This window comes from Homo sapiens, chromosome 10, assembly GCF_000001405.40.
Source record: "Homo sapiens chromosome 10, GRCh38.p14 Primary Assembly".
Classification (NCBI taxonomy): Eukaryota; Metazoa; Chordata; class Mammalia; order Primates; family Hominidae; genus Homo; species Homo sapiens.
In genome coordinates, this window is record NC_000010.11 from 118,587,369 (window position 1) to 118,609,669 (window position 22,301).

A 22,301-nucleotide genomic window follows, 5' to 3' on the forward strand; every position below is an offset into this window, starting at 1 on the left:
AGGGACCCTACCATGCTCCTGACTCCTGGGAAAATCCTACCCTGGGTTGGCAGAGTCTCATAGACACCAGTTGCTGTCTGCCAGAGAACAGCTGGTGGGCCTGCCCCAGCCCTGGTGGGGTGCTGTGCAGGATCTGGAAGCAGCTAAGGGGAAGGAGTCCCACCCCCTCACCCAGATGGTTTTGGTCTCTGGGAGGGCTTCAAGGAGGACCTCGCCCTCCAGGGACAGAGGGACAGCTTTTCAGTGGCTGTGATTAGACTTCGACTCCTCTGCATTTCCTGCAGGGCTTAGGGCACCTTCTAAGTTCAGATTTATCTCTTCTAACCCACACCACTCACTGGCTGAAAAATGATTGAACAGTGGTCCACCCAGGCATGGATTCCTCTTCAGCCAGAATGAGTATGACCCAACATAGAAGTCTTCTTTGATATAATTTTAAGAGGAGGGATGTGGAAGTCAGTTACACAACAATGATGTAGTTTAATCGCATTTTGGTAAAATACAAACTGTGAATATGTTTGTGAATGCTCCTGGAAGGGCCTAGGAAGGAAAAGCACAAACTGTTAACTCGCCCAGGGAAGACAGGTGGGAAATATTCACTTACTACTTAAAGAAAAAATATGTTGATTTTGTAATTAAAAAAAAAATCTACAGCTGTCTTTGCTATTCAGCAGGCCTAGCTTTAGATCAACGAATTGCCTGGGGCAATGGACCAACAGGTGGGTTTGGCTTTTCTTCTGGGCTGCTGTGGTTTCACCAGCTGACCCCTCCTCTTCCAAAAACGTAAAGTGTGAATTCACCACGTTGCAGGAACCTCGGCTTTCAGTGCGTGTGGACTTAGCTGGGGGCTGAGGGGCTGCACACCCTGGAAAAACAAAGGCAACTGCTGCTCCAGAAGCCCCACTGGGAGAGCCCTGTGGGGCGACTACATCTTGACCTGCAAATTTCCTTCCCTCTTTGCCCCTAGTCCCGACCATTTCCACTAGCAAGGAGTTTGAAGGATGTAGACTCCTTGAGTCCCCATCACGCGAAATAGGTGGTTTGTACTACTTCGAACTTGGAGGTGATGCGCAAAAAACAATGACCGAGGTGACGCAATAATGCCAGAGCTGGATGGGGAGCCCAGCACCTGCCAAGCAGCCCCGTGCCCAGCCACCAACCAGGGTGATTGTGGTCTAGGCTAGGGAGGAAAGCCCAGTGCCTGACTGCTAACCGAGAGCTCAAACCTGGAGTCTTAATTTTTTCCAGGTCAAAAGGGTGTTTTCATTGCTTGGCAATAACTGTGGGGGCAAGGAGGGGTTTCACAGTATAGCTTTCCATTTTTCATTGGATGTCATTTCAGAAGAAGGAGATGGGTCCTGAGACCAGGGGATTTAGTCATCAGCAAGTTAAGGAGAGGATATTGTGAGAGCTGAGGGAGGGAGAGAGGCAGAGAATGCTTAAAAGCAGACTGTTTCTCCTTTGCTTTTTTTGACTCCAGTTTCTTTACTCCAGAACCAAACATAAAAATGAAACACATTTGACCTTTCATTGTTAGGCTCCTCTGGAGAGCTCGCTGTGAGACTTACCAGGTTGAGAGCCCTGTGGAGAGTCTATGCAAACTCCTGTTATCCACCTGAGCCTGCAGTTTGACCGCAAAATGACCAATTGTGTGAACTCCAAGACCCCACAGTGTGTGGGAAATACAACAAACTGCAGCCTTCTAGGAGCTTAGTGCAGACTGCCTTCTGCAGTGGAATTAGCCAGGGGTTCTCGCCATCATCTTTCACTTTGTAGCGATTGACCAGGAGATGGATGCTTGAATCCCACCAGTTCCCCTTCACTGAGGCAGAAGGGGCTTAGAGAGGAGATACAGATAATATGAAAAAGTAGCAGAAAAAGGCATGAGAAATAAAGAGTGGAAAAGGAGAGGAATTGTGTTAAAAGCAAAGAAAAACAATTCAAAAACCTGTGAGAAGTGTACATGCCCAGTTTTCAAAATAAGGCTGTTTCCAAAGACTGGAAAATGTACAGTCTTAACAATCAAGATTGCAACTCTCATCCATCCAAATATTTTACATTTCCCACATCTGTATACTATTTTACTTTGTAGGATAAATGGGTCGCTGAAAAGGTATACATATGTCCATTTTTGAGTGGTATTTTAGGTGTACTGAAAAATCTTTTTTATGACTCCATCATGAACATTTTAGAAACCTCGTGATTTTGCTTATAGACCCATATGTGGGATGTTGTTAGACCTTCCCAAATTATGTGTGAGAAATGGGTGATAAAATGCTAACATTTAAATAACTCTCCAATATATGATGGTATAGAAATTAGGCATGAAGTTCTCTACTCTCATTTTGATGGACCCGTGGATTTAGGCATATGCAGTCTTGGGGAGTAGAGAGCTTGGTGCCATATATTTAAATGCTGGCATTACTGAGGTTGGGGGCAGGGGGTCACAGAAGACCCAAAATGAACAGTTCATCTCTGGAATAAGGTGGAGTTGACAAATCTAGGTTGAATAGCATGTTTTCCTTGACATGATTTATCCTTGCTTTGACTCTGGCTATCCTGAGGTTGTGTAGTTACCCCATATGTATAACTGGCTTGGTTTATTAATCCTGTGGCTGAAGACTGTGCAACTGATTTAGTATTTATTGAGCTCCCACAACATGCCAAACACAGTATAAACCCCAGCATGTAGAGCTTCACATGTGATTCAGCAACACATGCATTTTACACACATAGCAAAGACATCAACGCATGAAGGTAAATCAATCAAGAACCTGCCTTGGGAAACAAAGGTGCTCCTGACCTCTCGTCTGTGAGGGACAGGCCCTGTGTTCACTCCCAGATCTAGCCACACTCTTGAGGTTAGTTTTGTGCCTTGCATTTGAAAGACTAACAGATGTTCAGGAATGCAAACCACAGGACAGAGGTCGTGGGTGAGCCTACCTGAGAAAATAAACCTGGAACTTAGCTATCCCAGTAAAACAGCAGATTGAAAATTCACAAGGACAAAAAATCAGACGGTTATAGGAACTGGAATATCCTTACCTTAGCATCTCTCACAATTGCTATTTCCAGGTAGCTGTTGGAGCATGCATTGAAACACTCTTCTGCCAGTTTAATGAGATAAATCTATTGATTGGCTGCCAAAAGTGTGACCTGGTGACAAAGCTTGCAAAGAGGATTACAGAACCTCCCATCAGCCTTGAGAAGGGCTGCTGCCAAGTACCAAGTTGGCTCAGTTCCCAGCCTGACTGCCTGTATTACTCCTTGCAGGAAGAGGACTGTGTATACATCTTAGATGCTTGATATTAACCAAAATGAATTATTAAATAAAATTTTCTACCTACAGTCCTACGCAGTTCTCTCTGGGACTCACCTCTGATTTTTTTGAAATTCGGTTTGATTTATAAACTAGTCCACAACACATTTCAGATGTTGTAAGAATTAATTGCTGTTCCGTTGCTGATTTTCATAATATGTAAAGATGTTTATAAGCACAATCTAATTCTCCAACCTCTTTAAGCTCTTTATAAAGTCCATGTAAGTGTTTCAAACTTAAGTTGTAGGCATGACAGAAACCAGTGGCAGCTTTTCTAGTAATTAATGGAGATGCTTGTTTTTCATAGTTGATATAAACTTAAGCTAATCAAGGAGCACTTTTTCTAACACCCTGACAACCAGGATTTAAAATAATTCATGGTATGTAAATTTGTTTTTTGTTGTTTTTTGTTGTTTTTGTTTTTTTTGTTTTTTTGAGACTAGATTTTGCTCTGTCACTGAGACTGGAGTGCAGTGGTGTAATGATAGCTCACTGCAGCCCAGTGATCCTCCCAGGCTCAAGTGATCCTCCTGCCTTTGTGTCCCAAGTAGCTGGGACCACAGGTGTGCACCACCACGTCCGGCTATTTTTTGTAGAGATGGAGTTTTGCCATATTTCCCAGGCTGGTCTTGAACTCCTGGGCTCAAGCAATTCTCCCTCTTCGGTCTCCCAAAGTTTTGGAATTATAGATGTGAGCCATGGTACCTGGCCATGGTATGTAACTTTATAATACAATTGACCTAAGGTTGAATGATGATATTCCTTCTGAATTGATTGGACTGATACATAAGAAATATGTAAGTAAACTGTTGAACGAATCCCTATATATTCTGATTTCAATAATTTGCCTCTTTGTGATTGAGCTGGTATTGCCTGAAGACTAAAAGAGTATTCTCTAAGTATGGCATGTAACACCGTCAAATTCAGCTCCAAATTATTAACACCTTTGGCAGGTACAACTAAAGCTTCATTCGGATGTTTCTGAGATTCATTAGAAAGAGGATTCCCGCCCCCACCCCCCACCCCGAGATGGAGTCTTGTTCTGTCACCCAGGTTGGAGTACACTGGCACAATCTCAGCTCACTGCAACCTCTGCCTCCCTGGGTTCAAGCAATTCTCCTGCCTCAGCCTCCCGAGTAGCTGGGATTACAGGCGTGCGCCACCACGCCTGGCTAATTTTTGTATTTTAAGTAGAGACAGGGTTTCAACACGTTGGCCAGGCTGGTCTCAAACTCCTGACCTTGTGATCTGCCTGCCTCGGTCCCCCAAAATGCTGGGATTACAGGTGTAAGCCACCATGCCCAGCCCTAGAAAGGATAATTCTTAAGGTGCTTAATCTTGGTTGCACATTAAAATCCCCTGAAGTGCTTTGGAAAATGCTAGTGTCCAGGCACCATCTCAAATCAACTAGACTCTTGGGAGGAGAGCCCAGACATCAATTACAAAAAGAAAAAAAAGTTCCCCAGGTGATTCTAGGAGCAGCCAGGGTTGAGAACCAGTGATTCAAACCTTCCAACAAAGAGCCGACGATGAATCAGATCCCTCCCCAAATAATCCCTCTCCTTCCCCTCTACCATCTACACTCTCCACACATGACCATCAAAGGAACTCTCTGAGGAAATGAGAAATGTCTGGCCCTGAGCCTCCCAAGTAATATAGCTGCTGGAAGCACAGGAGCCAGTCCTCGGGATGCCTGGGAGATGAGCTTATCTGGGGCAGGGGTGGGTTGCACTATTAGCACACAGGTTCTTTGTTCTCCAATCCACGGATGAAGCTCAAGTTCATTTAGCACCATTGCCAGAGGTAACCTCCATACCCATCTTTGCCTGCCTTTTCCTTTCTCCCAAGCCAGCCTTTCCTACCCTTTACTGTGTGCAAAAAGTCTAGCCCTGTAACTACTAAAGATTCCTATGCCAACCAGCCCAACCGTGATCACTCCCACTCCCACCATGGTTGTTGACATGAATGTAATAGGATTGAACCCTTGTCATTCCCATATCATCCCTCTTTCCTTTCCTTTTAGGGCACATTTTAATGAATGAATTGAGCTTATTTCTGAATAAGAGAAGCAGGAGGAGGTGAAACAGTGATTCTTGTGTTCAGTGAGCTGGGAAAGTAGTTGAACCCTACAGATGGTGACTGAGTTACTGGGAACACAGAGGCTGATCTGACAGCTGGATATTATGTATCATTTCCCAAGACTCCTGCCCTCACTGCCCAAGTTGCTTTTCCAACAGTGTGGAGACCTTTGTCCCAAGGCACTTGTCCTCATTTACAGAACTCACAGGAGGTTAAGGTGATGATTATCAGCCTGGTATCATGCTCCACAGTCTTCACCTTTTCCCTTAACCCTGGAGGTAATTAGTGTTTGATCTACACATCATGTGGGTGGTAGCTTATTCTTCTGTTCTGTCCTTAAGTAAACTTCTGCCGGTCCTTGATTTCTGGGTTGATCATGTTCCAAGAATCACTACAGAGCAGGTGCTGAGCAGTCAGATGACAGCTGTTGATCTGTTGCAAGTGAGCAATTAGAGACTGCAGGAGAATGCCACGCTACACAGTTTACATTGAGTATTCAGAAAACCAAATATTTGAGTGCCCACTTTGTGGCAAACACTGAATGTGTACCCACACATACACACACATACACAAACACACATACACAGAGGATGTCTGTCCTTAGGTACAATTGAATGACCTCTTAAGTGAATTGGACCTTTTCCTCTTTATTTATCTATCTCTTCATTGACTAATTCGTCTCATCATTTTTAAATAGTAGTTGGGGAGGAAAGGGGAGAAACAATAGCAAGACCTTTCTAAAGGGAGCTTGTAGGTGTTTTTGTACTATAAACTCAAGTGGTTTTAAAACGAAACCCTTTTGGCATATAAAGGTCTTACTCAGGAAATGCTGAAATCCTAGATGTAGAGTTTTAATACATATTTACCTGAAATTCTAGGAATGCAAGGGTTCAAATGGACTAAGCAATATCATGGTACTCTCAGCTGGGTCCTTTTTCTAAAGGCAAACTGAAAATCTTTACCAAGCCCAATGCATTCCTTTTAAATCCCATTCATATTGTTCATTTCACCAACGAGCAGGAGGAGGGGACGCCAGGAAGGCAATCGTGGTTCTGAAATACTTTTCTGAACGTGGAGAAAAAGTTTTGTTTGTCCTTCAAGGGCATAAAGAAGAAATAAGAAATCCTCTTCCCTCTCTTTGGCCTCCCCCAAGCAAAGAGCAAGACTCTCACCAAAGCCCGCTTAACATTTTACAAACACACAAGGACAAGACAGACAGCCGGACAAGAGGGCTGGGCTGGAAATGTTGCCCTATGTTGGCTTAGCTAGCTCTGGTGCTGAGAATAAGCACCAGATTGACCTCGAGTGGTGCCCTAGGAGGCCAGTTGAAGTGGAGCTCCTTGACCAAGGCCTGGCTAAGTGGCATCAGATGACCACGCTGACGGTCATATTCTGGCCATGGGGGGCTATCTTGCGGGGCCAAGCGACCAACAGTTTGCGCAGCTCCTCGCGGAAGCTGTCGTGCAGCCAGGCGTAGATGAAGGGGTTGTAGCAGGCCGAACTCATGGCGAGCCAGTGGCAGAGCAGCTGCACCAGCCCAAAGGCGTAAGGGTCGATGGCGTGGGGGTCGAGGTCCCGCAGCAGGTTGAAGACGTGCAGCGGCAGCCAGCAGACGGCGAACACCACCACGATCACCACCAGCAAGCAGAAGGTGCGCCGGCGCCGAGCGCGGTCCCAGTCGGCCTGGCTCTGGGTCACGCAGCCCGGCACCACGCGGTTGCGGAGCTTCACTGACACCCGGACGTAAGACAGGAGGATGACCAGCAGAGGGAGCAGGTAGGTGACCAGCAGCAGCCCCCAGGCGTAGAGCTGGCGCTGGCGCTCCTGGGAGCCCCAGAACTCCTCGCAGAGGCGCACGTCGTGCGGCTTGAGCTCCACGTGATAGGTGTGCACGGCGGCGGGCAGCGCCAGCACCGCGGACAGCGCCCAGATGGCCAGCACAGCGTAGGCGCTGAGGCGCAGCGAGATGCGCCGCCTCAGCGGGTGCACCAGCACGACGTAGCGGTCCACTGCGATGGTGGTGAGCGTGAACACCGACACATAGACGGTGACCGGCTGCAGGAAGAAGACCAGGTGGCACAGGCCGCCGCCGAACACCCAGCCGCGTGGCTCGAAGGCATAGGCCAGCGTGAGCGGCACGCAGGCGGTGCACATGAGCACGTCGGACAAGGCCAGGTTGCCGATGAGGAAGTTCGTCACGTTGTGCAGCCGGCGCACCCGCGCGATCACCAGCACCAGCAGGCAGTTGCCCACCAGCCCCACGACCACCACGACGCTGTAGAGCAGCACGATCAGCCCCTTCAGCTGATGCACCAGCTGCAGGCTCTGGAAGGGCGTGACGGCTGGAGCGTCCGCGCCAGCCACCGACCCGTTGCCCGCCGAGGCCTCTGCGCTCTGGTTGGCGGGAGTTGTGACCGCCGGCGGCAGCCCAGAAAATAAGTCAGAAACCCTGGGGCCCCGAGTGGTCGATGAGGCCATGGCCACCTGTTCAAAGGTAATCAAAGTCCGTCACTTCCCTTGCCATACTCCATCCGACCTCCTACACCAGCCGCGCCCCTCCCCCATCGCCTGAGTCCTCCCTTGGGAATAACCGGCCACAGAACAACAGCAAAAGTAGCAAAAAGTGTTGTCCTCTCACCTCTGTAAAATAAACCTAAGCACGGTTAGAACATACGGTTTATTTAAACGCTTCCGCCTCTATTTACGGTCCTCGCAGTCCACGCAGGCAGACTCAGGAGCGCGATCCTACCTGGGAGTGGGGTTTGGAGAGCGGGAAAGCACTCGCGGGAAGAAGGGGCAGAATTTCTGCTGGCCCTCGGTAGTCCTCTGCCCACGTCGGTGATCCGGTCTCGCTTCTCCGCGGGAGCTGAACGGATCCAAATGTTTCCCAGTGGGCTAGCAGCTTCTTAGAGGGACTGGGAGCGCCTCCCCTCAGCTCCGCCCCCCACTCCAGCTCCCATGTATGGAAAATAGGGGTGGAGCGCGCTCTGCCATGCTCGGTGCTTAGAGAACTAGTGAAGAGGACAGTGTGGGGAGGATGGAATCCGAAACGGGAGGAGGGGCCGGCAAACCTGGCCAGAGCAGCGAAGAGGACGAATCTCTACTGCAGGAGCTTGCACGGCCCCTGGAGGGTCAGGGTCCGGAGGAGCGCACAGTGGAGGAGGGCGGAGGAGAGGCGCGAAGCGTCAGGCTATCGGGAGGAGCCGGTGCAGTCTTAGGAGGGAAGGAGCGGGGAAGGAAGTAGCGGTGGGAGATTGCAATGCAGCTGGGGGCTTGAGAGAGGCACGACTGACCCGTTCTTAAAGGCTGGATCCTGCCTAGCGGCCAGGTTGCGGAGGGCAGAGACGCTAGAGGGCTCGGGCTGGGATTTAACAGCAGAGCCTGGAGCTGGTCGCGGACCTGAGGACCCTCACCCTCCCGTGGCCCCGCCACACGAGCCCCCTGCTTGGCTGCAGCGCGCTCAGCGGGCAGCGGGTCCGGCCAAGCCAAAGGCAGGAGTCAGCACCACGGACAGCTTCCGCTGGATCTGCCGCCCCTCGGGCGGATGATGTGGGGAGGAGCAGGGGAAAATGACTAGGGAATTCCTGCCCCTCTCTGGATCCGGGTGTTTGGGGAAGGAACCTGGTCCGGTTCAAAGACCTGCCTCGCTGCCTGCTTTCTGGGCTGGGGCTGAGAAGAGTAGGGTGGAGTGGAGGCAGCTGAGCCGGGGGCCTGGGGGTCGGAGACTCATGACTTTTGCTCCTCTTGGTGGTCACCGCACTCAGTGCCAAGGACGGCGTCGTCTTTTACCTCCCGGGGTCAGAAAATGCAGCTCTCCTGCCAGTTATTCTACACAGGCACACTTCAGTCTGGCCCAGCGACTCCCCGGCTCACCCTTTCTCTCGCTTTCTTTCTCGGCTACCGCGACCTGTGCCGTATCTGGCTGCTTCTCCCAGCACAGAGTAGTTCCTGGACTGAGACTTGACCCCTCCCTCCTTGACTGAACACCCACAGGCCTCTTCTCTTCATTTTAGGATTTTTTAAAAATACTGGTAATTGCAGATTTCAGCTAGGGTAACAAAAGTAACAAACATTTGAGAAGCTTAGGCGTTTCATAAAATCTTCAGTAGTATTAAGTCCTCATTGAAATGCAAATTAGCCTGGCCCACGGGGCAAGAGCCAGGGGAGGAGGGGCCTTTGTAAGCTCCCTCCTTAGAAGCTATCTCATTCCCTCAGCCTCTTGTTTCCTTTTTCCAGAGCATGGAGCTTCATTGTCTCCTCTCTGATAAGTCCTTGTACTTTGTCCTCTGGCTGCAGATATTCCAGTTAGACTGGAAACTAATATCAATTTATTCCACCCTCCAAATTTAAATGAATCACTCATATAGAAAAAAGTCAATATTGGAACAAAAGTAATCAATGTTATGCACCTCTGTCCATCCTAAGCTCACGGTCCCTGAGTTATAATCAATTTAGCTAAAACCAGTGTGTGTGTATATATACATGTATATGTTAGGACAAGATCTCACTCTGTCACCCAGGCTGGAGTGCAGTGGCACAATCATGGCTCACTGCAGCCTCAACCTCCCAGGCCAAAGCCATCCTCCCACCTCTCAGCCTCTCAAGTAGCTGGAACTACGGGTGCACACCACCATGCCTGACTAATTTTTGTTTATTTGTTTCTTTTGAGGCGGAGTCTTGCTCTGTCGCCAGGCTGGAGTGCAGTGGTGTGATCTCAGCTCACTGCAACCTCTGCCTCCCAGGTTCAAGCGATTCTCCTGCCTCAGCCTCCCGAGTAGCTGTGACTACAGGCACGTGCCACCATGCCCAGATGATTTTGTATTTTTAGTAGAGACGGGGTTTCACCATGTTGGCCAGGATGGTCTTGATCTCTTGACCTCGTGATCCGCCCACCTCGGCCTCCCAAAGTGCTGGAATTACACACGTAAGCCACTGCGCCTGGCCTAATTTTTTGTAGAGGTGAGGTTTTGCCATGTTGCCCAGGCTGACTGAACTCCTAGGCTCAAGCAATCCTCCCGCTTCAGACTCCCAAAGTTCTGGGATTACAAGCATGAGCTACTGCACCCAGTCTCAGTATTATATATACTTTTTTAATTGCAGAGCTCTAAATAGGATACAATCAGTGCCTGCCTAATACCTTGCCCAGTAATTTTTCTCATCATTTTCACCTGCAGGGTTTTATGCACCCAAGAGCAGGGGCACTCTTTTGTTTCAAAATCTCTTAAGCAGAGGAAATTGCGATAAAGTCAGTGAAAAAGGATTTGGGATGTTGTTAGGCCTCCTAACTAGAGCCATCATTCTGGTCAATATCATTATATTGGTCAATTATCATATATAATAGTAAAAGTAATAATACGAAGACAACTTTGTCAATAACTGAAGGTCATGTAAACATGGATATTTGAAGTTTCAATATTGGGGCACCCTCCAGAGGAAAGAGTGGATCATTTGCCAAATTCCAGATAAAGTTGGGCAAGCATTTTAGTATTATCAATATTTGCAAGGTGGAAAGGAAGTGAACAGCTGTCCTTTGAAGAGGGAATGAAGATTTAATGTGGCCTATTAGGGCTTCATTCCCTCTTCTCCTCACTGGAGTTAAGGCTAGTCCCTCTCCCAGCCAGCACATCATGATTAAATCATGCTAATGTTCAGACTGTCCAGTACTAAGAATGCTCCAAAAACCTGAGAGAGCATAAATAAACAAAAAAAAATAGGATAAATGAAGGAAAGGTAATACTTCATACAGTAGACAGCAAACTATGGGATTTTACTTCCTCCCATTCTCCAAAAGTCTTCAATAGCCCATCCAACCAAGGCCAGATGCTTTCGCATGGTATTTCCAACCAGTGTGCACTCCCTTTCTGATATGTCCTCATTTTTTTGGTCTAGCTTCCCACCTCTGTCCATTTTACTTCCTAGGTACAAGCCAAACTTTGCTGGGTGCTGAGATATCCTCACCATTCCTGTCTAATTCCTCTCTTAAGGTTTATTTCTTTTCTCCACAATGTCAGTTGTTTAATCCCCACTCAACTCTACCTGTCCACATTCTTCACATCCTACAAGACCCAACCCAAGGACAACTGTTCTCAAAGACTTGTCCCTTCCATAATCTTTCTGTCTTTTATTAATTTCTACCTTGAAATTACGGAAGTGTTTAGCTTCCCTGCCTCCACCAACCCTGACTGTAAATTCTTTATGGACAGGGCCAATGTCTTGATACATTTTGTACCTACAACATGCCACGAGCCCAGCAGATACCCAATACATGTGTTTTTCTTTTTCTTTTTTTTTATTGAATGAATAAAAATAGTTACCATTTACTTAGGGCTTTAGGCATGCCAGCCATTGCTAAGTACATCACACAAATTGTCTCATTTGAGTCCCCTCAAAATTATTATTATACCCATTTTACAGATGAGAAAACTGGCTCTCAAGTCAAGAAACTAACCATAATGGCACATCTAGTATGCAGTGGGGTTGGAATTTCATCTTAGATCTGCCTGATTCTGGCACCACACCACTCAACTACTATACTTCACTGCCTATGAATGAATGGCAGATGTACCTGCAAAGACTGAAAATACAAGCAGGTTCAAATGAGATTGAATAAATACAGGAACCCCTCCCCCCATGGTTTATTAAGAAAGCTCTAGAAAATTTAGTTACAACTCACACCTTATCATGTTTAAGCTAAACAGATCTTCATGCCTTACCCCAAATGTCTCTTGCTTCCATCCCATATAGGAAACAAAACCTTGGGCCATAGTGCTACTGGTGGGTCTTTGCTCCCAGAGCTCCCAAGATGGTGGTGGGCCACTCCCAAGCAAGACGGCGGCAAGCTTCTTGCTCTCTGACCTGGGGTTTTTGGCCTCACGGATTCCAAGGAATGGAACCTTGGGCCATGCAGTGAGTGTTATAGCTCTATTAGAAGCCGTGGGTCACGGAAGAGAACCATGGAGCCCAGCAACTAGTGTTCAGCTCGATTAGGACAAACCCAGGCACTTAGCCGCACAGGAACAATGGTGAGAACCGGAACAGCAATGGGCGCCTCACTGGATCAGAAGCGCAGCGGACACCCTGCTGCATCCAGAGGGGTGGAAGTCAGAGGCGGGTCTGCGACGACGGCAATCAGCAGTGGTGGACGGCGAGTGAAAGCTCAGCTCGAGCTGGAACAAACACAGACCAGAAGAGTGTGCAGTTGCAAGATTTAATAGAGTGAAAACAGAGCTCCCATACAATGGGAGGGGACCCAAAGGGGGTTGCCACTGCCAGTTCGAATGCCTGGGTTTATATCCCGATCATTGTCCCTCCCCCTGTGCGCTCAGGCAATAGATGATTTGACTATTTCTTTACCTCCTGCTTTTAGCCTAATTGGTATTTTAGTGAGCCCTCTTTACTACCTGATGGGTCGGGTGTGAGCTGAGTTATAAGCCCCATGTTTAAAGGTGGGTGCGTTCACCTTCCCCAGCTAGGCTTAGGAATTCTTAGTCGGCCCAGGAAATCCAGCTAGTCCTGTCTCTCAGTAGGAACTTCAGGGGATGGTCTTTGCCGATGATAATAGGTGACACTATGTGGAAAACAGAAGACAGAGACGACAGAAGTAAGGACAGCAGTTAGAGTTTTAGGAAGCTTCGTTAAAGGGATCTGAAGATTTGACATCAACTAAGTCCATGCTGATACGTTATAGTTAGCCCAAATATACAGGAAACCACTAGATATCAGTTTTGACTACTAGCACAAAGAGCTAATTTCTAGCACAATTGTTTGACACTTGTCTAAGGCCAGGTAATAACAGGGCAGAAGCCCTCCCAAAGTGAGTTTTGTCTTCTACACCTGCCCTGTGTGCTTTCCAACAGCCAGATGCCACCATGGCTCCTCAGGCTGAGCCAGGCACCAGTTCTAAAAGCTCTTCCAACTCACTGCCTGGCCACACCAGGACTGGCCACCTAAGGCAGAACAGCCTATGGCAGGCAGTGTAAGAATGGATACGACCATTCACACAAATGTGAAGAAAACTGTGTGTTTCCATTAGATGCCTTTGAGCAAGTGCCTTTTGTCGCAGCCTCCAGACATACTCATTATTAGATTTTGAAAACATTCATTTCCCAGGCTGTCCTCTCACTCTTGAAATAGCAACAGGTCAAGTGGAGAAAAATGATGTTTTAAAAAAGAGGAAAGCCCAGACATAAGCCAAAGCCGATTACCAAAGGGAGGAGGTAACTCGTCACAAAGCTCCAAATCAAAATAAGAAATAACACACAGCTGTTGAGCTTGAATGACAGCTCTCCCACTATGAATGTGAATCATTGGACAAATTCTCTACTCTGGAAGAGCCCCAGTTTTGGAAAATCTAATAATCCCTACCTCTGGGGGATGTTGGGAAAACCCAGTGATATGACACATGGGAAGGTCCAGGCGCCGTGGCTCATGCCTGTCATCCCAGCACTTTGGGAGGCTGAGGCAGGTGGATCACCTGAAGTCAGGAGTTCGAGACCAGCCTGGCCAACATGGCGAAACCTCATCTCTACTAAAAATACAAAAATTAGTTGGGCATGGTGACATGCGCCTGTAGTCCCAGCTACTCAGGGAAGCTGAGGCAGGAGAATCGCTTGAACTGAGGAGGCAGAGGTTGCAGTGAACCGAGATCGTGCCACTGCACTCCGGCCTGGGAGAAAGAATGAGCCTCCATCTCAAAAATAAATAAATAAATAAATCACGTGGGAAGGAATGCAGCTGGCGTGTAGTGACAGTGGCTACTCTTGGAGAACCCTTTTGTCAAGCCTTATGGTGCCGCCCCTTGTCAAGGAGGTTTTTGGGGTGCAGTTCCCAATTCTTCCACTCAAATGTGACAAACTTTGTGGTTAGAAGAATTTGCTGGTTTTTTACATCTACTTGATTCAATCATTGTTTACCAAGCATGCAAAGCCCAGGACTAGATATTACAGGAAAGAATCGGAGACCAAACAAAGAAAAAATGTCATCATTGTCTAAATACTTGCAGTCTAGTGAGTGAGAGAGAAGCCTACAAAAATCACTGTGAGGCATGAACCATGATAAATGCTACTACCACATACTATGAAAGAGAGATAAGAATACTCACTGGGGAATTTACTAATTGCTTTAGTAAATTAGAATTGTGTTCCCTCTTATAGATCATATTTATTTAAATACACAAAGGTCTTTAAAGTGTTCATAATGATTTTTTAACTCAGCTATGTCAACACTGCACATGTGGCTTAATTGTGTCTCTCTCTTTCTATGTTTGTATACAACATACACAACAATGTGGGCCCATTATGAATCTCCATGAGTTTATTTTCTCAGGTGGCACAGATGAACCATTCCTCACTCTTTCACCAGCCACATGTGTAGCATCCTTTCTTCCCAGGGGAGGGGCTCCCTATGATTCCCTGCATCCCTAAGAGGCCCTGGGTTAGAGCATCAGGGTAAAATTGTTATAGGGCACCATCCCTTTCTCCTGTTTTCTGATCATTTTATCTATTTTTGAAATGCATGTCTTTAAAAATATCCCAAGTGGCCCATGAGTGATGCTGATAATAGGGCCTATTTTTGCTGCAATTATCCAGGGCTGGATAATTATCCAGGGCTCTGGAGAGGCTCAGGCAGGCTGAGTTGCTGGGCCCTATAAAGAATTTTACCGGCCGGGCATGGTGGCTCACACCTGTAATCCCAGCACTTTGGGAGGCCGAGGCGGGCGGGTCACGAGGTCAGGAGATCGAGACCATCCTGGCTAACACAGTGAAACCTTGTCTCCACTAAAAAATACAAAAAATTAGCCGGGCTTGGTGGCGGGTGCCTGTAGTCCCAGCTACTTGGGAGGTTGAGGCAGGAGAATGGCATGAACCCGGGAGGTGGAGCTTGCAGTGAGCTGAGATTGCGTCACTACACTCCAGCCTGGGCAACAGAGTGAGACTCCGTCTCAAAAAAAAAAAAAAAAAGAAAGAAAAAGAATTTTACAGTGGCTCCATTCCCTTCCCTTGGTTCTCTGATCACCAGCATCCCTCTCCGGCCATCCCTGGACCTCCCTGAATTCCTGAAGATTCAGGCCCCAGCTAGGGCACCTTCTCTGGTGGCACTCTGTGCAAAGATACCACCCTTAAAATACATAATTGACCAACCTGCTCAATTCAGGATCTTAGCAGGCCTTCATTTTCTAACTTCCGATTGGTCTCTTATCAATACTCAGATATTAGCAGCATGAATGATGTATCTCAGCCTATTAGGGGTAGATTATATACACAAATGCATAAATAAACACAGAGACCAAAGCAGAACACTTGAAAACCATTTGTATTACATTCTTTCCCAAAGACAGGGACAAGGCAATTTGCTTTCCCATTTTGCTTCCCACCCTCCTTCATTATCAACTAGAAATGGCTTTTATGGATGGTAAAAACCATCTGGCATCTGCTCTGTGATATGTAGCAGTGAAGGGCCTTTGCAGTTACATTCAGATGGGGACCTTGACCTTGCAGAAGCTCTTCTTTTGGGTTTCCATTAATATACTTCTCCTGCCAAAGCACAGTGATGAACCCAAGCCACATCTCATTATGCTTTCCTCTGAATTATTATCTGAACACGTCTAAGTTCATGCTGGTGGCCTTATGTGGCGTGAGATATTTTCCTGATTTTTTTTTTTAGACAAAGTGGAGAATGAGAATAGCCCTCGGGTGTTTTCTTCAGTTGTGTCATACATGTGCATGCAGGCACACACATGTGACATTCAGGGCTGGGAGTTTGGCAGCCTGGGTAGGACAGTGGATCCTCCCTGTGCCCCATCTTGGCTAGTGCACCTTTGTCACAAGAGAAACAACCCTAACTTTCATCCTTAAGGAGACCATGAGGCAATGTCTCAGGAAAGGGTGAATAATAGGAAAGTATCATTTTTCTCTTAGTGTGGCCCAAAGGCCACCTTCATCAGAATCAGCTCTGGTGCTTATTAAAAATGCAGAGTGCTGGACCACAAGGCAGGCTCATTAAATCAGAACCACTGAGGGTGAGGCCTGGGAAAACAAATTTCTAACGAGCACTCTGAGTTATTCTGACACATTTAGGGTAAGAACCATTATCCTAAAGTCTGTTATTAGCAGGTGAATCCATGAGCCTGGCTCCCTCCTCCTCAAATGACTGGAATATCAGCCAGGGGCACAGAGCAGATGCAAACCCAGCCTGCCCTCCTGCCCAGAGAGCCCAACAGCTGATCTCAGCCTTCCCTCCCTTTCTCTTTGCATGATAGATGCAGGAAGAAAACAGTATTGTACCTGCTCGGTGCATTCTCTAGATTCTACCTTTTTTAAAAAAAATGATTTTTGATGATATAAGCAGCACGTGAACACATTCTCCTGTTTAATAAAAAGCAGATAAGCCTGAAGTTCCCTTTGACTTTCACCCTCAATCTCCATCTCTCCCTCGGTGGTTACACCTGCCTTTCTAGACCTTTCCCTGTGCATTTACATACATGTATCTGAACCGATGGGAAAGAAGTCGTGTTGATGGACATTTAGATTGTTTGCAACAGTTTGCTATTACAAGCCTCACTACAATAGACATGTTCCTATATGCTTCCTTGGGGAGGTTTCTCCAGGGAGTCACTCAGCAAAGGGAAATCTATGAGTCACAAGATATGATCCAATTTACCCTCACCGGTACTGCAGGGGACTCTCTTTTGCTTAATGAATTGTAAGAGCTCACTAAATATTGCATGAGTTCTTATAACAGGCAAATGTGGAAAGGGACACTGCTGTTGAACTAAACAGCATTCTTTACCAATGCCAGGAAAGGCCCTCATGTCCCCCAAACTTGGTCTTCCCTGCATGTTCCCCTTTCTCCTGGTGAGCATCCACACTTGTTCAGAGCTCCCATGGGCACAGCAAGCTGTCATTGTCCTTACACAATCCACTGTCAACCAGGGCTTCATGGAAGCTACTGGAAAGGATGAATTCTCCTGGGAGAGACATTGGGTCACCCAGTAGAACCCGACGTCCCCCATTAAAATAGATAATTGACCAACCTGCTTGATTCAGGATCTTAGCAGGCCTTCATTTTTTAACTTTCTATTGGTCTCTTACCCATACTCAGATATTAAAATATTAGCAGCATCAGTGATGTATCTCAGCTTAGTCTATTAGGGGTAGATGATATACACAAGTACATAATTAAATAAACACAGAGAACGAAGCAAAACACTTGAAAACCATTTGTATTACATTCTTTCCAAAGACAGGGACAAAGCAATTTGCGTTCTCATTTTGCTTCTCACCCTCCTTCATTAACAACCAGAAATGGCTTTTATGGATGGTAAAAACCATCTGGCATCTGCATTGACCATTGCACTGCTATCCACCTGGTTCTGAGCTCAGCGGAGGCAGCTCTATTTTAATCTTTTTTTTTAAATTTAGATGCCCATGGGAGACTTCACTGAAGCTCAGAATTCCATGGCCAATAAAGTATCTGAGGCCATAGTTGAAGTCACTGGCCCCCTGGATCAGCTTGGCTTACTAAGACTCCAGCCAGGCTCCTGCAGGAGTAGGCTAGGGAATGAACTGGAAGAAAGACAGCTTGAAGAGACATAAAGGGAGACAGTAGTGTTATCAGGCCTGCAAGCCAGGACACCAGTGTGCAAATCCCCACATTGAGAGTAACTATCCAAGTCACCCAGAGCAAGCCCTGCCTGACTCAGCATCTCCGTTCCCTTATCTCTAAAATCATATTGGGGAAAGGGAACTAGACAATCCCTAAGGTCTCTATAAGCTCTGACAGCCCAGGAGTCAGAGACTGTGGTTCTGAGATATTCCTGTCTAGTATCCACACACCTAGATGACACCACTTCTCTGCACACACCTGAATGACACCTTGCCCCACTTCCACCTTTTAAAAAGCTGTATATCTATATGACATCCTCAGACATCCTCCTCAGACTCACTTTAGCTTTTTCTCCACAGGTCTGGCCTTCCTACATATCTAAGAAAGAACTTTAAGCCCTTGGATTCACAATTCACTGAGGGAAGAATCCCAGAGGAAATCATTTCGTTCACGCGTACTCCCAGCAATGTTTCCACTCTCGAGCTGTAAGCACCGTGAGGCAAGTCAGCCTGAGCAATCGTTGGCAGTCTTCTGAGTTTAGTAAGTGGTGTTTGTTCGATTCCTATGATTCACTCGATCCAATCAAAGCAATTACTAACTCACACTCTTCAACCATTTCCCAGCCACGCGAAGGCTCTGTTTGCTACAGTGATGCTTTTTCATGTAAGATTTTCTTTTTTAATTTATAACAGTCTTTCTACCAGCTTCCCCAGCTACTTTTTTCTCATATGGCAAATTTCATGAACATAATTAACGGATGTGGTGGGGCTTTTTCTTACATCAAATCCACAAAATTAAACAGCTAGAGAGTTCCCTGAGATGTTTCTTATGCAAGTATCTTCATTAATGATAAAGAAAACACAGAGGATATAAAGCAATTAAACGCGTTCTGGAAACTGTCTAGTCATAAATCAAGGGTTTCAGCAGCTGACAATCCTAGGAAAATGCTAGGACCTCAAGAGCTTCTTGATTCCATTTCTTCCTTTTATTTTTTCTTAATTCTATTTACTGGCCTACCAAAAATGCATTTAGATATTTTAGGGGCTCACCGCCCGAGGTGTGATTCGTAGGGCAGCAGCAGCAGCATCTGGGATTTGGAGAAAAATGAGAAGCTAGGTCCAGCCCAGACCTCCTGAATCAGGATCTGCATTTTAACAAGATCCCAGGTGATGGATGCCCACATTTCCGTTTCAGAAGTGTTGTGCCAGAAGCTTCTTCATCTTGCCTCCAGTTGGGTGCCCAGAATTGCCACCCTCATTTGGCATCTGAGTCAGTGCATCTAAGCAGACACTCCAGTATCATTTAAGAAAACCTCTCTATGAAGCTCAGGCCAAAATCAGACCCTGAAAGGATCTGTCTCGGATGTGCCCAACCTCATCTTGATTTGTCTGATGGAAATGCCTCACCCTGGCCATGGGCTCCAGATAGCGTTTTGGTCACCCAAATCCCCCCGACTCCTGTTCTTCACAGTGTGGGTGTGCATGTATTCGGGGGTGGGGGTGCATATTTGTGTGTGTGTGTGTGTGTGTGTGTGTGTGTGTGTGTGTGTTAACTTCAGGTGGGGAGTTAGCCCTACTCCTCAGTGTATGCCCATTATCATCATATGAGCAAAGCCCTTCTCTTGTAAATGTCTATTTTTTCCTCCTTTATCCCTCTCCTTGGACACTGACTCTAATGATTTCATATGTGCCCTTGAATAAATGTGTATATCTTAGAAATAAAATAGTGTGGGTTTGGAGAGAGGCTTAATTTACACGGATGTTACTGTGCCATAAATCTTGTTGTGGGTAATCGTTTTTTCATTCAGTACTATGCTTTTAAGGTCTATCTATTTGGGAACGTGTATTTCTAGTTCACTGCTTCTAACTGATGCTTTGTATTCCAGAGAAAACAGCAAAGCCTGTGATAAAGGTGACACTTCAAATCAGTGTGGAAAGGATGAATTGAAGAGATAGCGTCTCACTCTCTTAGTACAAGAGCAGTTGTTGCATTTATATTCAGGCTAAGCTGCTTTTCTAAGAGACCCCAAATACAGAGTAGCTTCAATAAGAGAAACATTTCTTTTTTTGTTTTGTTTGTTTTTTAACATTTATTTTAGGTTCAGAGGTACATGAGCAGGTTTGTTATATAGGTAAATTGAGTGTTGTGGGGGTTTGGTGTACAGATTATTTTGTCACCCAGGTAATAAGCATAATACCCAATAGTTTTTTGGTCCTCTCCCTCCTCTCCCTGTCCACCCTCATGTAGGCCCCAAGAGAAACATTTATTTTCCTTCTTAAAGTAGCCCAGCAACAGGTGTCCAGGACTGGTGGGAGCTATGTGTGGTTTTCTTCCATGTGTGGTTTTCACCTTTGGGTCTAGTTCTCTGCACTCGCTCATCAGAAGGAAGGATGTAAATGACCAGGGAAGCACATGCCCAATCTTTACCATGGAAAGACCCAGGAGTAAGACACTCCTTCTCCCCAAAACCTCCACAGCCATCCCTTGCTGCAAGGGAGGCTTGAGAACACAGCCAAGCAATACAATTCTGTTGCTTATAAAGACAGAGAGAGTGACTACTGGAGACAGCTAGTCATCTGACACATTGTGTCACAGGATCTTTCAGGTGTCACTTTGTCAGCCAGAAACCTCTGTGGCTGGTGGCACCTCTGCTTGAGTTTTGCTCATGCCTGCTGGGCTTGTTCCACCCACTTGGCCCAGCAGGCTGCACTTGGCTCATACTACTGGCTCAGATCCCACAGTGAGCCAGGTGCCAAGCCAGGTGCAGAGCAGCAAGGGGTGTGTGAGCAAGTGAGCGCGGGGTCAGGCCACTGCACACAGCCAGGCACCCTGGCTGCTGCAGCACAGTGGGTGGCTCCAGGCACCAGCACAGGCACCGGCTCTGTGTGAGGCTGCAGCTGGACCAGATGTACCATGGCAGCTTCTGCTGTGGGCACCAGCATCTGGATGAGGGGAACACGGTGGTGCTGAAAAGCCTGGAGATGCCAGGAACTGCGTAGCCTCAAAGAGGGTGTTACAGCATATCACAGCCCTGGCTTGGGGAACCCCGAGTTCTGGGCTCCCAGAAGGACCACAGCTTGTCTCTTTCTCATCACCCACAGTGTGGTGACCAGGGGCCATGTTTCAAAAGGCATGTTTCAGCCTGTTTGTGGCATAGCTCTTTCTGTCCTGCCTCCCCACTCCAGTCCATGGCTGCTGAACTGGCCCAGCCCCACTGCTGCTTCCTTTCACATGGGGCAGCCACCCAGTGCCAGGAGAGGATGGGAGGGCTATAGTGTTATAGCTCTGGTTCAGGGAATCCCAAGGTCTGGGCCCCCAGAAGGGTTGCCACTCTTTACTCCCACAGTCCAGGAACATGTCACCACCTGCAGCTCAGCCAGGAATGTGTTACAGCCCTTTAGCTCCCACCCACAACTCGGCAACCCAGCCAGGAAAGTGCTACAGCTCCTTTCACTCCTGCCATTCAGTGGGTCCTAAGTTCTTGTCCCATGTCCAGGAAGAATGAGGTTACATGGACAACTGGAGGGTGAGCAAGGTGGAGAAGAGCTTTGTTGATCAACCCAACAGCTGTCAGTGGAGAGGAGACCTGAAATGAGTAGCTCCTATCTGCAGGCAGGTAGTCGGACAAGTGTCTGAGTCTGGCTGAGTCTGGTGGTTTTATGGGCTCAGAATGGAGAAAGTGTGTGCTGATTGGTCTATGGGCAGGCCAGGGAAAAGTACCACTTGATTGGCCAAAAGGCATCAGACAGGTTCTCATTCCAGGTCACAGACTTCACCTAGAATTGGCAGCCTGTTCCCCAGGCTTCCCTACGTTCCTGGCTTGAAGGTGGGGTTTCACCAGGGACCCATCCATTCCCTCCTAAGAAACAGTCTGCCTCCCACTGCCATCAATTACACTTCCCCTAAGTGAATGCACAGGCTGGGAATCATGCAACTGACTACAGGCTGGGAATCATGCAACTGACTGCACCTGCCACTTAGTGCTGAGGGCTCTCAAAGCCCCATGTGTGGACATTTCATGTGAGCACAGAGGGTTTCAAAGCACATATTTGGAAACAAGATGCACTCTTGCCTTCCTGTTATTTCTCTAGTCCTGCTTCATCTCCACTCTGTTTTTCTCACCTATTGGAAATGATTTATTATTTATAATCAGTCTGCATTTTAAGGAGAGAGGCTCCCCTAAAAATAATTAATTGCTTGCTCAATAAAGACAGAAAGAGAGACAGAGAGAGAGAGAAAAAGAAGGAGAGAGAGAGAGAGAGAGAAGAAGAAGAAGGAGGAGGAGGAGGAGGAAAAAGAA

At 47.1% G+C, this 22,301-nt stretch overlaps 1 protein-coding gene across 1 annotated transcript, besides 3 other annotated features; it reads right to left on the minus strand.

Annotated features, from left to right (window-relative positions):
• Positions 1 to 2,628: 2,628 nt before the first annotated feature.
• PRLHR (prolactin releasing hormone receptor) lies at positions 2,629 to 8,280 on the minus strand. Its single transcript, NM_004248.3, has 2 exons — positions 8,148 to 8,280; positions 2,629 to 7,882 (listed from the first exon to the last, which is right to left on the minus strand). Exon 2 carries the CDS (start codon positions 7,874 to 7,876, stop codon positions 6,764 to 6,766), a length of 1,113 nt encoding a protein of 370 aa, NP_004239.2. The 5' UTR covers positions 7,877 to 7,882; positions 8,148 to 8,280; the 3' UTR covers positions 2,629 to 6,763.
• Positions 7,239 to 8,047: an enhancer, noted in NCBI's record as "H3K27ac-H3K4me1 hESC enhancer chr10:120354119-120354927 (GRCh37/hg19 assembly coordinates)". NCBI's record gives its function as "activates a minimal SCP1, AML or CMV promoter by ChIP-STARR-seq in primed H9 embryonic stem cells {active_cell/tissue: H9 hESC(primed)}" and the evidence as "EXISTENCE:reporter gene assay evidence [ECO:0000049][PMID:30033119]".
• Positions 8,048 to 8,856: an enhancer, noted in NCBI's record as "H3K27ac-H3K4me1 hESC enhancer chr10:120354928-120355736 (GRCh37/hg19 assembly coordinates)". NCBI's record gives its function as "activates a minimal SCP1, AML or CMV promoter by ChIP-STARR-seq in primed H9 embryonic stem cells {active_cell/tissue: H9 hESC(primed)}" and the evidence as "EXISTENCE:reporter gene assay evidence [ECO:0000049][PMID:30033119]".
• Positions 8,857 to 9,665: an enhancer, noted in NCBI's record as "H3K4me1 hESC enhancer chr10:120355737-120356545 (GRCh37/hg19 assembly coordinates)". NCBI's record gives its function as "activates a minimal SCP1, AML or CMV promoter by ChIP-STARR-seq in primed H9 embryonic stem cells {active_cell/tissue: H9 hESC(primed)}" and the evidence as "EXISTENCE:reporter gene assay evidence [ECO:0000049][PMID:30033119]".

Coding starts and splice junctions, on each gene's coding strand:
- PRLHR (NM_004248.3), bottom strand. CDS start 7,876: ATGGCCTCATCGACCACTCGGGGCCCCAGGGTTTCTGACTTATTTTCT.